The sequence below is a fragment of the Homo sapiens genome, chromosome 17, assembly GCF_000001405.40.
Source record: "Homo sapiens chromosome 17, GRCh38.p14 Primary Assembly".
NCBI lineage: Eukaryota > Metazoa > Chordata > Mammalia > Primates > Hominidae > Homo > Homo sapiens.
This window is the reverse complement of record NC_000017.11, coordinates 28683229-28699944: the sequence shown is the minus strand read 5'-3', so window position 1 is coordinate 28699944 and position 16716 is coordinate 28683229. Positions and strand designations below refer to the sequence as shown.

Sequence of the window (16716 nt, the reverse complement as noted above, 5' to 3'; positions counted from 1 at the left end):
CCTAGGTGTTCCTCCAGCCACGTCCCTGAAGTCAGGAAGAGCAGAACTCACCTGGTACAGGATCCTGGTAGTGATCCTTAAACCATCTAAACAGTCCATTCACGGTTGGGAAGATCTGGCCCCGGTACCGGAATCCCTCTGGAGTCACCGTTACATATTCTATCCTAGGATTTTAGAAGGAAACATGCATCAGAAACCACTTGGGACCCACCACAAGAGCGACCAGAACAGATGCCCACCATGTGAAGTAGCCATTCTGGGTGCTAGGGGAAAGGAGAGATGACACAGCCAGTCCCCAGGCCTGTGAAGGGAGGTGAGCAGCACATGGCAGAACATATTGAAGACCAAGGAGTCAGTGGCCCTCTGTGTGCTGCATACGGACTGCCGGAGGAAGGCTTGCTGGAGGCTGTGCTACCATACTGGGCTGCAGTATGAAGGCAGGATACTGCCGGTGAAGTGAGACCGAGATCCCATAGTGCCAGGGTTGGAAGGGGCCTCCCAGAGCAGCAAATCGCAACTCCCCTAAAGCAGGCATCTTTCTGCAGTGGCTGTGGAAGGTGGTAGTCTGCCCTTGTTCAACACTTCTGAGAGTAGCAGATAGTTGTTAAGAGGGGCTCTGGGTTAGTTCCAGTTCTAGTTCTAGTTTTAGCTCTGCCATTCACCACATATGACACGCTGCACCAAGTTACCAAACTTGAATCTCTGCTTCATTTGTCCAGTGAGGACCACAGCACTGAAGCCTATGGGGTGGGTGTGAGGATAAATGAGAATGCACAGAGCACGTTCCACAATGCCTAAAGCTGGGTTGTGCTCAATGAAGGCCAGCTATCAATGGCAACCAGATAATGCTACATAGTACACAGTTCTCATTTCTATTAGGCTGACACCTGCCTCCTAACTCTTCCGTAAGTGTTAATTCTGCCACACAAGGAGAGTCAGCTCCTTTCCCCAGAAGCTATCATGCTGCACCTGGTCCTGGTTAGAGCCCCCACCCCCGCCACCAGTTTGCTCAACTGTTCCACACAGGACACAGTTTCCAGCCCCACTTAGCCCTGGCTGCTGGCCTCTGGAAGCACACTGGTGAGTCAACAGGCTTCTCAAGAAATGAGCACAATATTCCAGATGTGCCCAAGATGGCACACGGTACAGAGTCTAGGGCTTCCTGTCATCTGGCCACTGAGCCCCTACTAATGCAGCCTGAGCTGTGCATCAGGTAAAGCCAGTACAGGGATAAAAGCAGAAGTGCACATGGCCAAAGGCCAATGGAAGGATGGGGGCAGGGCTTAGGCAGAGAAGCAAGTGTGATTACCAGTCTGTATCACAGACACAAAGACGCCAGTCTAAGGAAACTGGACTTTGTCCTCTAGGTTCAGGGTAAGCGCTAGAGGGACTCAGATAAAGGAATACCTCAGGAAGGCCAGCCTGTTAGTCACACAGAAGCAGGCAGAGCAGCAGGCAGAGCAGGAGACAGAGCAGAACAGGAGACAGGCTCTCCTGACCACCGCTTCAGTGCGGGCGGAGTGAGCACATTACAGCAACAGTGAGCCACTGTGTGCAAGCCCTGGTGAGGGTGAGGCAGGTGGTGGACAGGAGAGACCAGTGTACTGGCCCCCAGTTTCTGCAATCAGGTGAAGAGTGTCTGGTGACTCCTGTCACTCTGTGGGAGGGAGAGGAGGTGAAGGGAACTCCTTTCTCACGGTGTTAAGGAAAGCGCCCTTCTTATGTGAATCCTTGCCTTTTTGCCTTGAAATCATCACCCTCTTTTCCCACCTCCAACCTCCACCTCTGTTCTAAACAGATGAGAGGAGAAAGGCAGTCCAGCAGAGCCAGAGAGGGCACTGCTCCGGGCCTCTCCCTGCCTTCTAGCCTGCCTATGAACCCCAGTGGCAGCACCTTCTCAGCACTAGTGCTCACCTGGGTTTACCCCGGGGCTGGTATCCCAGTAGGAACTTGCCGGGCAGTTCCTTGCAGGCACAGATGAAATAAGGGATGAAGGTGGGCTTCTCCTTCTTAGTTTTGATGAGCAGCTCCTCTAATTTCTGGGGGTAGAATGAGGGGGAGAGGTTGGGATAGCAGCATGCTTGGTACACAACGTCTGGTGCACACATGATGTACACTTCCTTCACCGCCTGAGTGTCCCCTATACTGAAGGGAAAGCGTACATCCTTAAGTGATTGGCAAGTGTCATTCCTCAGAGGGCCCTGGGCTTACCTTGCGGTCCCCACCGCTGCAGTCCTGATAATACTTGTGATTCAGAAGGTCCCGGGCAAAGGATGCCATGGGCTGGACATAGCGAGCAACAATCTCATCCAAATCTTCGAATTCCTGTGGGAAGAAGGTAAAGGCCCCATGTGTCATATCCAGAGCTGAGATTCTTGATCAAATCCATCCAGAAGAAAAACCATGGGAGGGGATGGGCTTCTCAGTCCATAGCAAAGTCCCCTCAGTTTATCCATCTGTGTCATGTCCAGATATATTAGCTCACAGGGCATAAAGTCCTTTAAATCCTGGCTTTGATTCTCCCCTAGTGCTTGGGAACAACAGGAAAATTCACCAGATTTCTCTTCACTGAAAACAGAAAAGAGAAACTTGATATATGTGTGTGCGTATATATGTGTATTTTCTCCTCTTCCTCCATTGGCTCTCTCTAGGTAGACTATTTTAACATTTGGAGGACACGGAAGGAGGGGACAAAATAAAATTGATATCAAATGACTCATTCCGCAAACCACCTCCCGTTTTGTTGCTGTGCACAGCTAAAATACCTATGACCCGAGTTACTAATGTCAGGTGAAAGCACCCTGAAGGGCACCTTTCTGGAAGCAGGAGTGGGATGGGAGGTGGGCAGGCACTGGCTCTCACCTCACTGTTGATCCACAGAGTGGCTCCCAGGCTGAAGGCATTTTCCTTGCCCTCCTCCCGCACATCCACATGCTGGTAGATGCCATCACTGACTTTCCAGGTCACTGTCAGGTGGTTCTCGCCCTTGCTGCTTGGTCGGATAATCACATCACCCTGGTCCATGGTCTCCATCATCTTTTCTGCTTGCTTGAAATTGATATTATGGAAGGATGGGTGTGCGATCACTCTCTTGATGTATGCTGAAAAGGGCAGAAAAGCAGTACAGACTGGGTGATGGGGCTAGGAGCTGGCAGCAACAGGACAAACCAGGCCTTCATTTCTTATTTATTTATTGAGTTGGGGTGCTCTGTCATCTGGGCTGGAGTGCCAGTGGCAAATCATGACTCACTGTAGCCTCGAACTCCTGGGCTCAAGCGATCCTCCTGTCTCAGCCTCTAAAATAGCTGGGAATACACCGGTGCACATCACCATGCCTGGCTTTTTTTTTTTTTTTTTTTGAGACAGTCTCATTTTGTCACCCACGTTGTAGTGCAGTGGCGCAATTCTGGCTCACTGCAACTTCTCCCTCCTAGGTTCAAGCAATTCTCCTGCCTCAGTAGCTGGGATTACAGGCGCCCACCACCACGCCTGGCTAGTTTTTGTATTTTTAGTAGAGATGGGGTTTCACCATTTTGGCCAGGCTCGTCTTGAACTCCTCACCTCAAGCGACCCGCCTGCCTCAGCCTCCCAAAGTGCTAGGATTACAGGCGTGAGCCATCGCGCCTGGCCATTTTTTTTTTTTTTTTTGAGACAGAGTCTCACTCTGTCACCCACGTTGTACTGTAGTGGTGCAATTTTGGCTCACTGCAACTTCTCACTCCTGGGTTCAAGCAATTCTCCTGCCTCAGTAGCTGGGATTACAGGCGCCCACCACCACACCTGGGTAGTTTTTGTACGTTTGGTAGAGACGGGGGTTCACCATTTTGACCAGGCTGGTCTTGAACTCCTGACCTCAAGTGATCCACCTGCCTCAGCCTCCGAAGTGCTGGGATTATAGGCATGAGCCACCGCACCTGGCTCCTGGCTATTTAAAAAATTTTTTTTGTAGAGATGGTGTCTTACTAAGTTGCCCAGGCTGGTCTTGAACTCCTGGGCTCAAGTGCTCCTCCTGCCTTGGCCTCCCAAAGTGCAGGGCTACAGCCGTGAGCCACCCTGTTTGGGCTTAATTTCTGACCCACTATGGGATTCTGAGACTCTTTCACCTTCTCTGGGCTTGGATTAGCTGATATGAAGGACATGTTCACCTGGGCTCCTAGGACACTGAAAGAATGAGGCTTTAAGAGTCACAAGGCATTAGCAAAGAAAATGTGACCCAAGAGACTCTGGGTTCCAGCCCTACCTATGACTTTTTCATGACATCTCCAGGCCTTAGCACCTCAAAGCTGAGTCCCCACTTCCACTGGGAGACTGACACATGTGCATCCTGTGGCCTGAATCCTGCACTGGGAGAACTGCCAAGATGCAGGGTGCACAGAGATGGTGGGAGGCACACTCACTGGTCCGCTGCTGCTTCCGCTTCATGTCCTCCTCCTGCTTGTGGTCTGCAGCTTCAGCATCAAAGTCATAGTAGGTGTCTTTGGGCAGCTTCCACTCATTGTTCCTGTCCATGAGGTCTGAGGTGCGGCAGGTCAGGTCTGCACTGAACTTCTCAATGTCAATCTTCATGATGCGGCAGTGAACAGTCATTCCCACCTAGATCCACAGAACATTTGAGCTGGAAGGGACAAAGATGATCTAGCCCGATGCCCTATTTCACCCATGAGAAAACCAAAGTCCAGGCAGAAAGGTGTAAGGTGTAAAGTGACTTGCCCAAAGCCAGCCAGCTGCTGAATGGCAGACTGGGAGTTTGGGGTGGAATCTTGTCTGTAGACTACAGGCCAAGCCCTGCACTAATGCCTCCACTCTGGGCAGGAAAACCAGCTGAAGCCTGCTGGATCTACCCTGTCCCTGGCACTCTTCTCTTCTCCCATGAAGTTGCCTAGTTACTGCTCCCAAGGTGCCATCAAAGGTTGACTCCCCCAACACCCCCCCTCCTTTTTTTTTGAGACAGTCTCACTCGTCGCCCAGACTAGAGTGCAGTGGTGTGATCTTGGCTCACTGCAACCTCCACCCACAGGGTTCAAGCGATTCTCCTGTCTTAGCCTCCCGAGCAGCTGGGATTACAGGCGTGTGCCACCATGCCCGGCTAATTTTTGTATTTTCTGTAGAGACGGGGTTTCACCATGTTGGCCAGGCTGGTCTCGAACTCCTGACTTCAAGTAATGACTTCACCCACCTTGGCCTCCCAAAGTGCTGGGATTACAGGTGTGAGCTGCCATGCCTGGCCTGACTTCCCTTTTTGAAGGGGAAGCAAAATAATAGCTGTTTTCTGTATCTTACCCTTGATATGAGCCCTTCTGTCTAAGTAGTGGCAAAAGCCAGTCACTCTGCATCACTCTTCTCCTTGTGAAAAATCTCCCCAGCTTCACTTATTAGAACTATTTTTCCCCAGCCCTCCTAAGTCATAGTTCTCAGAGGTTCACAACACTCAGAACCAGTGAATTTCGCAGAGCTGCTATCAGCTATATCACTAACTGGGTGATTCTGAAAAAAGTTGAATTTCTCTGACAAAAGACAATATTTCCATTTCCATCAGCATGTGAGATTAGAGACAACATATGTCGATGTCAGTGCTGGTATCTAGTGGGTGCATGATATATGGCCAGAAAATAACAGAACAGAAATGGAGCCTAGAGATTTCCTCCCTATCCACAGACACCATCTCAAGGTTCCTTCTGTGTCATCTGGTCCTGCCTAGAGGATCCAGAGGCTCCCTGTGCACAGGGGCTGTGCCATGCATTATTTCCCACCCTCTAAAGCGCTGATGCCTGGTCTTGGGAGAACAGGCAGAGCCTTTCTGTTTCACAGCATGTAATGCTGGGCCCTGCCCTCTGGACTGAACTGCAGCTTCCCACACAGGAAGAGCCCTCTCCCAAAGGACTGGGAACTTGCTGAAATTTCACAAAGGCAGTGAACAAAAGCTGCTACTCATTCAAATGCTTCTCACCCTAGCTTCTTTCAACTAGTTATAAATCTTCCCTGAAACACTTCCCACCAGCAGCCACTGGGAACAGAGCCTAACTTCTGGTGGGGACAGCCCAAAGTTAAAGAGACCTGATCTGGGCAGCTGAAAATTGCACTACGACCTTAGGACAATCAGTCCTCTACCTTCACTCGTTCTTCTGGCCGCTTTACCACTTTGTCACTGAGGAATTTGGTGGGGATGAAGCCGGTGACACCATTGTCTAGCCGTGTTTTGACACCGATGGCCTGGCCTGGGCACGAACCGCTGTCAAAGTGGTTCCACACCTGAAGAGGGCATGAGGAGAAGAGCTTGATTATCAATATTCTGGAGATCGCTCATTCAGAAAAGAGCTCCCAGAGGTGTTGTAATTTCTTTTACCATTGACACCTTGCACCATGATCTGAAAACACAATGACTTAGTCATCTGCCAAGACAGAATTTGACCATCTACAAAGTCCCTTGTCTCATAGCTGATGCTTGGCACCACTGGCCATCAGATGAATCTTTTTCTTTTTTTTGAGATGGAGTCTTGCTCTGTTGCCCAGGCTGGAGTGCAGTGGCGCAATCTTGGCTCACTGCAACCTCCGCCTCCTGGGTTCAAGCCGATTCTCGTGCCTCAGCCTCCTGAGTAGGTGGGATTACAGGCGTGCATCACCACACAGGGCGGATTTTTGTATTTTTAGTAGAGATGGGGTTTCATCATGTTGGCCAGGCTGGTCTCAAACTCCTGACCTCAGGTGTTCTGCCCACCTCGGCCTCCCAAAGTGCTGGGATTACAGGCGTGAGCCACCACACCTAGCCATCTTTTTCTTATGACAGTATCACTCTTTTGCCTAGGCTGAAGTGTAGTGGTGCAATCAGGGTTCACTGCAGCCTCAACCTCCCAGGCTCGAGTGATCCTTCCACCTTGGCCTCTCGAGTAGCTGGGACTATAAGCGCACGCCCCCAAGTCTGGGTAATCTTTTTTTTTTTTTTTTTTGAGACAGAGTCTTGCTCTGTTGCCCAGGCTGGAGTGCAGTGGCACAATCTTGGCTCACTGCAAGCTCTGCCTCCCGGGTTCACGCCATTCTCCTGCCTCTGCCTCCCGAGTAGCTGGGACTACAAGCGCCCGCCACCATGCCCAGCTAATTTTTTGTATTTTTAGTAGAGATGGGGTTTCACTGTGTTAGCCAGGATGGCCTCGATCTCCTGACCTCGTGATCCACCTACCTTGGCCTCCCAAAGTGCTGGGATTATAGGCGTGAGCCACTGCACCCGGTTAAGCCTGGCTAATTTTATTTTGTAGAGATAGGGTTTTGCCATGTTGCTCAGGTTGGTCTTGAACTCCTGGGCAAGCACTCCACCTGCCTCGGCCCCTGAAAGTGCTGGGATTACTGGTGTGACTGTGCCCCATCCTCTTTTATGTTTATCCAACTTAGATCCCTTTAGCTGCAACTGAGGCCCCTCCCTTTTGTGTTTTTTTTTGAGATAGGAGTCTCACCACCACACCCTGCTAATCCTTATATTTTTAGTAGAGATGGGGTTTCATCATGTTGGTCAGGCTGGTCTGGAACTCCTGACCTCAGGTGATCCAACTGCCTCAGCCTCCCAAAGTACTGGGATTACAGGCATGAGCCACTGTGCCCGGCCTGGCCCCTCCCCACTTTTTTTTTTTTTTTGAGACAGAGTCTCGCTGTCGCCCAGGCTGGAGTACAGTGGTGCAATCTCGGCTCACTGCAGGCTCCGCCTCCCGGGTTCACACCATTCTCCTGCCTCAGCCTCCCGAGTAGCTGGGACTACAGGCGCCCACCACCATGCCTGGCTAATTTTTTGTATTGTTTAGTAGAGACAGGGTTTCACCGTGTTAGCCAGGATGGTCTCGATCTCCTGACCTCATGATCCGCCCGCCTCAGCCTCCCAAAGTGCTGGGATTACAGGAGTGAGCCACCGCGCCCGGCCAGCCCCTCCCTTTTTTTAAAAAAGGAGATGGGGTCTTGCTATGTTGCCCAGGCTGGCCTCGAACTCCTGGGCTCAAGAAATCCTCCCAAATTAGCCTCTGATGTAGCTGGCACTATACGTACGTGCCACCATGCCTGTCTGCCATTTTGTTTTGACCCAGCGACCATAAGAAGTTTCTTTTTTTTTTTTTTTGAGACGGAGTCTCGCTCTTTCGCCCAGGCTGGAGTGCAATGCTGCTATCTTGGCTCACTGCAAGCTCCATCTCCTGGGTTCACGCCATTCTCCTGTCTCAGCCTCCTGAGTGGCTGGGACTACAGGTGGCCGCCACCGTGCCTGGCTAATTTTTTGTATTTTTAGTAGAGACGGGGTTTCACCGTGTTAGCCAGGATGGTCTCGATCTCCTGACCTCATGATCCGCCCGCCTCGGCCTCCCAAAGTGCTGGGATTACAGGCGTGAGCTACTGCGCCCGGCCGACCATAAGAAGTTTCTAAGTCAGCCTTTTTTTTTCCTTTTCTGAGATGAAGTCTCATTCTGTCACCCAGGCTGCAGTGCAGTGGTATGATCTCGGCTCACTGCAAACTCCGCCTCCTCGGTTCAAGTCATTCTCCTGCCTCAGCCTCTCGAGTAGCTAGGATTACAGGCGTATGCCACCACAACTGGCTAATTTTTGTATTTTTAGTAGAGACGGGGGTTCACCATCTTGGCCAGGCTGGTCTCGAACCCCTGATCTCAGATGAACCGCCCACCTTGGCCCCCAAAGTGCTAGGATTATAGGCGTGAGCCACCGTGCCCAGCTATGTCAGCCTTCTCAGAAGGGACTTCATGCTAAACCTGTGTGTTTCCCGTCCGTCTTCCTTCTTTGTGTACTTGTTTGGTGAGAGAATGATCTAGAACACCCTCATTTCTGATTCCCTTCTAGGCACCGAGATCATTCAACCAAGGAAATCCACTGAGCAGGATAATGCTGCAGCACACACCTCGCTTAGTTCAGGGAAATTGTCCTGCTGACAGAAGGGGCACTGCCACAGCCCTGTCTCATCATTGCGGATCGCCTGGTCATAGCTCTCACCCTGGGGACGCCTGTGGGCAATGCCAGTGACATTGCAGATGATGAGCTTTCCTGCAAGAAGGAAAAGAGGATGGGGAGCAGGCTCAGAGAATGTGGAGAGCACTTCTTTCCACCAGCCTTTCAGTGACAGAATATCTGACTTCCTTCCCATCCTTGAAGAGGGAACTCTTCCCGATTTTTATTTATTTATTTATTTTTGAGATGAAGTCTTGCTCTGTTGCCCAGGCTGCAGTGCAGTGGTGCTATCTTGGCTGACTGTAACCTCTGCCTCCCAGGTTCAAGGAATCCTCCTGCCTCAGCCTCCCGAGTAGCTGGGATTACAGGTGCCCACCACCACGCTCAGCTAATTTTTTATTTTTAGTGGAGATGGGGTTTCACCATGTTGCCCAGACTGGTCTCGAACTCCTGGCCTCAAGCAGTCTGCCTGCCCTGGCCTCCCAAAGTGCTGGGATTACAGGCATGAGCCACTGTGCCTGGCCGTTCCCCTGATTTGATGATAGGGGAAAATAAAGCCTATAAGAAGACTAACTGCATGAAGATTCCATAGCACACTGGAAGCACATTTGACCTTAAATTCAGTTTTGATTTCCAGTCCAGGACTCTTTAGTCTTTTAAAATGCTCTCCTGGCCTTCCCCATGTACAACACAAACCTGCCTCAATCTGTTGGAACTGCTGCTTGGTTTGAATGTACACAGTAAACACACCTCCTGCCCCCAATAAAAAAATGACCCCAGAATTTACCAATGTAGAAGGTCTCTGGTGTTTCTTTGGTTAACATATTGAAGATCTCCTCTGTGTTGGGAGAGCGGTAGGCTGTCCGGAGGTCCTTATATCGACAGCTCAGCTCTGCCCGGATGTCATAGAGTGTGATGTGTTTGTCACCATAGCCCTGGGGAAGAAGCCCATCAAGAAGAGCCTTGCAGCTGCCCCCCAACCTGAGCCTCAAGGAGTCCCGTGGAAGGGGCGGGCCTCTCCAGATGGGAGTAAGTTTCTGTCAGGGCTTCTTCTTTTCTTTCCATCAACATTTACTAAAGGTGGTTTTCAAACTTAGCCATGAAACACTGTAATCAAAATGCTTTATGGAACCCCAATGAGTCCACAGATAAATGCAAAGCTGTGCTGTTAGAAAGGAGGAAAGGGGGCCTAGACGGAAACTGTAGTACTGACATCCTCCCAACTCCCTCCTGCCCCTTGTAATTATGGTGGCAATCTCTGAGACTTCCCTGGCTCCTTAACAAGCAGACCAAAAACTTCCTTGAGGAGCCCAGTAGAGCAGGGCAGGGAGATGAGGATCAAGTCTGCCATACTAACAGTATCAGGCTTTCTCTGCACACTCACTGCCCAAGTCTCCTACCAACCTGGCCACTTGGGATGGGTTCTCCTGCCGGGCCTTCCATGCTGTCCCTTACCTGCCTCTCCAGCTCTTCTGCAAAGGCATCAAGGTCCAGGTCTTTCAGTCGCTCTGGGTTTTCCAAGATTTCTTCAAGGGCTCCTGCAGGATTGGCATCCTCGGCTGATTCATCGTATTCCAGGGCATCCACTGCCATCTTCCTAGCCCACTCATAAGTCTCAGGGTGGACACGGGAACCATCAAGGACTTCAATATATGAGTCAGTGCTGGAGGAAAGGCAGAAAAGGAACAGGATATAGAACGATAAGCTTCTAGTAACAACCCAAATGTCCACCAATGGGGAACTGGTTAAATAAATTAGGGCACCTCCATACAATGGAATACTATACAGCCATTAACAAGAATGAGGTAGATCTATGTGTGCTGACATGGAAAGATGGCCACAATATATTGATACGTGAAAAATGCACTGCAAAAACACTATGAACCATATGATCCCATTTTTGTAGTAAATGGGTAGTTAGTAAATGCATAGCAAAAATAAAATTTAGAAAAACTGTAGTATACATAAAATTGTTATGGTAGTTATCTCTGGGGGGTGGGATTATGGGGGACTTCCACTTTCTGCATAATATTTCTATATGTTGAATTTTATATGATGAACTTATATGAGTCTCATAATAAGATAAATCAAGAAAGGGGAAAAAAACCTTTGAAAATTTGCTGATAGCTATTTTCCCCCATAAAGCCTTCCCAGGCTGGTCTTGCCCGTGCACTCACATGGACCTATGTTATTCGTGGAGTGTTACAGCAAAGCTGAGTGGAAAATGAAGTTTTAGAACTTGAAGCCTATTTCCCCACTGATTTCCATTACTGAATGAGGAGCTATGTGCCCGTGGAAAAGATCCTCCAAAGACTGAGTTGATAACTTCTGGAGAGGAAGAGGTCAATAGTGAAGTCCAAAGTCCAAGTGAATAGAACTTTCTCTTAATAACATCATCTCAAAACATACCAAATCTCTCTCCCCCTTCCTTATCTCTTTATACCCCCAAACTCCTTTTTCATTGCCCCCGCTATTCCCACCCTTATCTGGCCACAACAAACCATAATAATAAAAAAGCAAGTTTGTGTTTACTGAACAAAATCTTGTGTTTTCCATGCTTAATTTATAAGCTAAGCTGGTACTTTTTATGTTTCTCTCACACGAAAAATGTTTCACATGATTGAACCGATCTTTTCCATAGGTCAGGGGCTCTTGACTGAATAAAGTTCCTTACCTTTTCTTTAAAACATTTCCTAAGTTAAAATGGCTTGTGGCCCTTTGATAGCCCTAACCCCTGAAACCCGAAAACAAAGCCCACAAGGGAATTCCTCCTGCCCCATCCAGGCAGAGGGCATCACCTGTCCCCCAGGGAGGCCGTGTCGATCTTGAGGAAGCCAGCACAATTCATGAAGACTTTGGGACCCATGTGGCACATGGTGACCAGCTGGGTCCGGCTCTCGAGCCGGGTGTTGTTCTGCTTCAGGATCTGGGGGAGAGAGCTGGACTGAGCCAGGGCAGTAAGCAGGCCCCACCTCCCCAGACTGTTCCAGTCTCTATTAAACCCTCATAACAAAAACTCTGTCCCACCCAGTATCTAGTTGAGCACTACAGCATGCTATCGACCACTCAAAATTAAAAAAAAAAAAAAAAAAGTTTTGCTTTAAATGGGAAAATAATAAACAAATAAATGATGTTATACCTACACCAAAGACCATATACAACTAATGTATGGCTTATAAGTTACAAGTTAACACTAGTTGGCCGGGCGCAGTGGCTCATGCCTGTAATCCCAGCACTTTGGGAGGCTGAGGCGGGTGGATCACCTGGGGTCAGGAGTTTGAGACCAGTCTGGCCAACATGGTGAAACCCCGTCTCTACTAAAAATACAAAAAATTAGCTGGGTGTGGTGGTGCAAGCAGCAGTGAAGGGCACAGCTTTGGCCAACTGGGTCTGAAGTCAGACTCTTTTGACTCTCACTAGCTGAGTGATTTTGGACAAGTCACTGACCTTGGTCCTCCCAATCTGTCAAATTATACTGACAAAGTATATATTCATATTCAATGAAATGGCAAGTTTTAAAATTTCTGAATTCACTCCAATCCTACCTTCAGGAGGTGGGTCCCTTTCCGAGGTCCCAGGCCACAAACATACTGGATCAAGGCCTGGCTGTAAGGGTGGGCAATGGCACGGTTGACATCGACCCCGACCTCATTGACTCGGTTGATAAATTCACAGTACAAGGCGTTGAGCAGCTCCTCTTTCACCACATGCTCCTGTGGACATTCAGCAGGCAGGAGTAAGGTTACTCTGCCTTTCCCTTCACCCGAGCCTGCCTGTCAAATCCTACTCACCTGCAAGGGGTGAAACTTGAGACACAGGATGTCTTCATCGGAACTGCACACCTGGGCAAATTCAATCAGAGGGTCCTGGATGCGCCGGGCCAGGGAGACGGCCTGTCTCAGCACTGGAGGATAATCCCGGAACTCTGCCTAGAGTCAAACGAGGGTCAGCAGGGCCTTAAAATCCCCTTAGCTACAACATCAAGAGGAAATCCAAACCATTCTGGTTTAAATCATTTTCTCTGCTTCTCTGGGATCTTTTTTCCTGAGACCGATTTAATTTCTGGGACTCCCAATCTGAACCGTAACTGCAAAACGGAGAACTTCTGCATGGATAAGTACACAGGTACAGTCCTGTGCCCCTGATAACTTTTGTTTCCCAATTTAATCTCTTTGGGATTAATAGCACTTGCCTGGGCAGGCCCTAAGGGTGAGGCTCCAGCATTACCTCTGACTTCTTGCTGTTCATATAGAGAATGGCCAACTCGTTGTCAACCAGCTCTACCCCAATAGATGACAGCTGCTGGCCCTGGTCCAGCTCATGTACAATGCGCTTCACATCTTCAATCAACATCTGGGCGTCCCTGGTGGGATGAGTGTTGGTCAATGAATATGTTTTCTTAGGGATGGACAGTCTCATGACTGCCTTGGGGGTGAAGAGGTAGGGGAGGAAAGGGCTTTGAAGAAAATGAGGTCAAACATCCCCAGGGACACTCCCTGCACAAGCACAAGCCCCATCTGTTATGGGCATATGCCAGACTCAATAATAAGGGATGAGTTGGGTCACGGCCTTAAACCAGGTGTGGTCTAATCCCTACCTACCTGTTCTCTCCTGCAACTGTCACTACATGAGGCTTCTTATTCAGGAGAAATTTCTTTAGCGTTTCAATGTCTTGAGCCTGGATTGAAAGAAAATTGAAGCTGAATGGCTCTGAGGATGTAAAGATTTCAGGAAATTCTGTCTCCCTATGTTGGAGATCTTGTAAGAACTGGAAGTCTTCAGAAGATATCTGGTCCAAGGTGCTACCAAGGAACTATTCCCACCTCTTCCTGAAAGTTGGCCAACCCTGCCTCTGCTTAATAATTCCACTGACTAGAACTGCGCTCCAGTGGTACCAGGTGCCACTGGCTAGGTCCCAAGGATGAAGTTAGGAAACCGTTCTTTTTTATTGTAAACCAAAATCTAATACTTAGCCATTGGTTCTAGTTTTGATGAAGCAAAACAAAGAACTAGTAGCTGCCCTCTTTTGGGTGAGGGCCCTTTGAAAAGGTCAACATGGTTAAGTATGATTTCCTTCATCTTAAAGATGTCCAGTTTCTTATGATTTACTTTCCACTGCCTCACACTCCTGCATGTCCTCCTTTTGTGGCTATTTCATTTGTGGTGTGACTTTTGCTAAAATGTGAGTAGTTAGGACTATTAGATATTCTGATCTCCATTTCAAGATTTTAAGGGCTGGGTGCAGTGGCTCACACCTGTAATCCCAGCACTTTGGGAGGCTGAGGCAGATGGATCACTTGAGTCTAGGAGTTTGACACCTGCCTAGGCAACACGGTGAAACCGTGTCTCTACAAAAAATACAAAAATTAGACAGGCGTGGTGGTGCACGCCTCTGGTCCCAGCTACTTGGAAGGCAGGAGGATCACTTGAGCCTGGGAAGCAGAGGTTGCAGTGAGGTGAGTTCTTGCCACTGCGCTCCAGCCTGGAGATGGAGCAAGACTCTGTTTCAATAATAATAATAATAATAATAATAATAATAATAATGATAATAATAAAATTTAAAAAATAGTTGTTTCTTAAGAAGTTTTTCTTTCAAGAATGGGGCTCTGTTAACAAAACTGAAAGATACTACAGATACCATTAGGATAAACAAAATTCAGAAATATACCAACCAAATGAATTGAAAGTCTTCTTTCCCTGGAAAAAAGACACCCTGAAAGGCTAAAGCAGGGAAAAGGCTGGCTTCATGCCTCAGTAGCTTTCAGCTGCTGGAACAGCCTGACCCAGATGCTGGTAAGAAAAGAGGCAGTTAAAGCAACTCCAGAAGCACACAAGGCCTAGGAACTGGCCTCAAGCCAGAAGCAAATCCCGTACTAGATAACTTGAGTGCCATCTACTGCTCATGGAAGTGAGGCATCCCAGGGGACAAGTCAGTGACCAGATCAGACACAATCAGTCTTGCATAGGATGTTGCTTAGACCGTAAACACTTATCTCCACTGAATCATAAGACATACTCCAGATGTACACTTAGTATCCTCGTCCTAGCCACTTGCCTTCTTTTCCCGCTCTTCCTCTCTCCATGCAGTTCGCCGTTTGGTAAAATGGGGCAGTCGAAGGAAGTCTGTCACTTCTCCTTCACCATTGACCAGGGCGCAGAACACAGGGTGATCTCTGCCAGACAGACAGAAAAACAAGAATGCAATAATCAGCAATATGAAGTTATGAATGAGAGAAAAATGAAATTAGGAAGACAAGAGATGGTGCTGGGGAGGCAAAAATAGGCTGTTACCTGGCAGAGGAGAAAGCAATGCCGAGGACTCGAATGCCCTTCCCTTGGTTCTCGTCCATAAAGTCGTCATCTTCTTCCACCTGCTGATCTGGTCGGTAGGGTGCCACTCTCAACCAATTGTAGAGCTTTCGACTACAGGCCTGAGGGAAGAGACACAACAGGTATTACATACATGATGACATTATGGTCATCAGGCTCACCAAGAGTGCTATGGAAACACACTCATACACACATGTGCGAGGGTGTGTACTCTTATGTGCAGATGTTCCTAGCCATTGGCAGGCTTACCACCTGAAGGCATATCTTGCTTGTGGAAACAGGAGTGTATACAGAGAACAGTGATATAAACAAAGAATGTTTGGATGAGTGGGGCTGGGGGAGGGGAGAAGCTCCTGGAGCAGAGAGGTCTTAGAGGTGGTCCCTGTGGCCTTGTTAGCATTCCCTCTCAGATTATGCTTCACCTGCCCCCCGTGTTTCTCCATTAGCTATGGGACTATTCCTAAGGGGTTCCTTCATGCCCAACTATAGTTTGGGGAAATCATATGACTAAAAATCATGAGTCTCGGCTGGGCGTGGTGGCTCACGCCTGTAATCCCAGCATTTTGGGAGGCCAAGGTGGGCAGATCATGAGTTCAGGAGATTGAGACCATCCTGGCTAACACGGTAAAACCATGTTATTTTATACTAAAAATATAACATATTTTATACTAAAAATATAAAAAATTAGCTGGGCATGGTGGTGGGCGCCTGTAGTCCCAGGTACTCGGGAGGCTGAGGCAGGAGAATGGCATCAACCTAGGAGGCAGAGCTTGCAGTGAGCCAAGATTGCGCCACTGCACTCCAGCCTGGGCAACAGAGCAAGACTCTGTCACCAAAAAAAAAAAAAAAATCATGAGTCTCTGTCCTCACCTTTATGACATATTCCTTGGCTTCAGCCAGCAGCTTGTTCTTGAGTTCTTTGGCCATCTGCACATAGAGGAACTGCTGTAAAGCCCGTTCGATGGCCATGGTGCGCTGCCGGTTCCACTCCTGCACCTGGTGGCTGAACTCATCTCGGTAGTAAAACTGTTTTATCTCCTCAAAATATGTCTGGTCGTTGCCATAGCTGAGAAGAGACACAAAGCTATGGTGTCAGGAATGGAGAAAAGGTGACACCCAATGTCCATGAACATTCTAAGCAAGCCAGAGACAACAGCCTGCTCAACTCTGAAATTGTGGTTCCCCACTCCTGAGGGGCCCTTCCCTCCACCAGACTCCTCATCAGGCCTTCCCCAGAGAGTCGCCAGCCCAGGGCTCTGCTTACCCTTCCACTCCCTTCAAATCTATGCTGATGTCAGTGGTGAGGAGCCCTTCGTCTTCAGCCAGGCATATCTTGAGAAACTGGTCATCTCTCAGTTCCTTAACAGGCTTGTTCTTTAAATACTTGAAGGAATAGGCATAGTGGGCCTCATCCACATCCTGCACACATGAAGGGGGAATCATGAGCCTGCGGATGGG

The 16716-nt window shown here is 48.8% G+C and overlaps 1 protein-coding gene across 15 annotated transcripts in view, besides 1 other annotated feature; it reads right to left on the bottom strand.

The window, feature by feature from the left end:
* Positions 1-16716, bottom strand: part of SUPT6H (SPT6 homolog, histone chaperone and transcription elongation factor) — a 40475-nt gene that overhangs the window by 2735 nt on the left and 21024 nt on the right. For 13 of the 15 annotated variants that reach the window (XM_047436596.1, XM_047436604.1, XM_047436601.1 and 10 more), the window contains 18 exons: positions 16523-16677; positions 16129-16324; positions 15220-15359; positions 14984-15101; positions 13530-13606; positions 13156-13291; positions 12720-12857; positions 12474-12641; positions 11727-11854; positions 10384-10591; positions 9716-9863; positions 8882-9024; positions 6109-6249; positions 4398-4593; positions 2863-3101; positions 2212-2325; positions 1915-2039; positions 52-164 (listed from right to left, as the gene is read on the bottom strand). In XM_047436596.1, coding sequence (XP_047292552.1) covers positions 52-164; positions 1915-2039; positions 2212-2325; positions 2863-3101; positions 4398-4593; positions 6109-6249; positions 8882-9024; positions 9716-9863; positions 10384-10591; positions 11727-11854; positions 12474-12641; positions 12720-12857; positions 13156-13291; positions 13530-13606; positions 14984-15101; positions 15220-15359; positions 16129-16324; positions 16523-16677 — 2683 coding nt within the window. Of the gene's footprint in view, positions 1-51; positions 165-1914; positions 2040-2211; positions 2326-2862; positions 3102-4397; positions 4616-6108; positions 6250-8881; positions 9025-9715; positions 9864-10383; positions 10592-11105; positions 11257-11726; positions 11855-12473; positions 12642-12719; positions 12858-13155; positions 13292-13529; positions 13607-14983; positions 15102-15219; positions 15360-16128; positions 16325-16522; positions 16678-16716 lie in introns of those variants that run through there. The other 2 variants (XM_047436606.1, XM_047436607.1) reach the window with 2 other exon arrangements.
* Positions 1260-1554: an enhancer, noted in NCBI's record as "tiled region #10516; HepG2 Activating DNase matched - State 5:Enh". NCBI's record gives its function as "activates a minimal TATA promoter and a strong SV40 promoter by Sharpr-MPRA in HepG2 cells {active_cell/tissue: HepG2}" and the evidence as "EXISTENCE:reporter gene assay evidence [ECO:0000049][PMID:27701403]".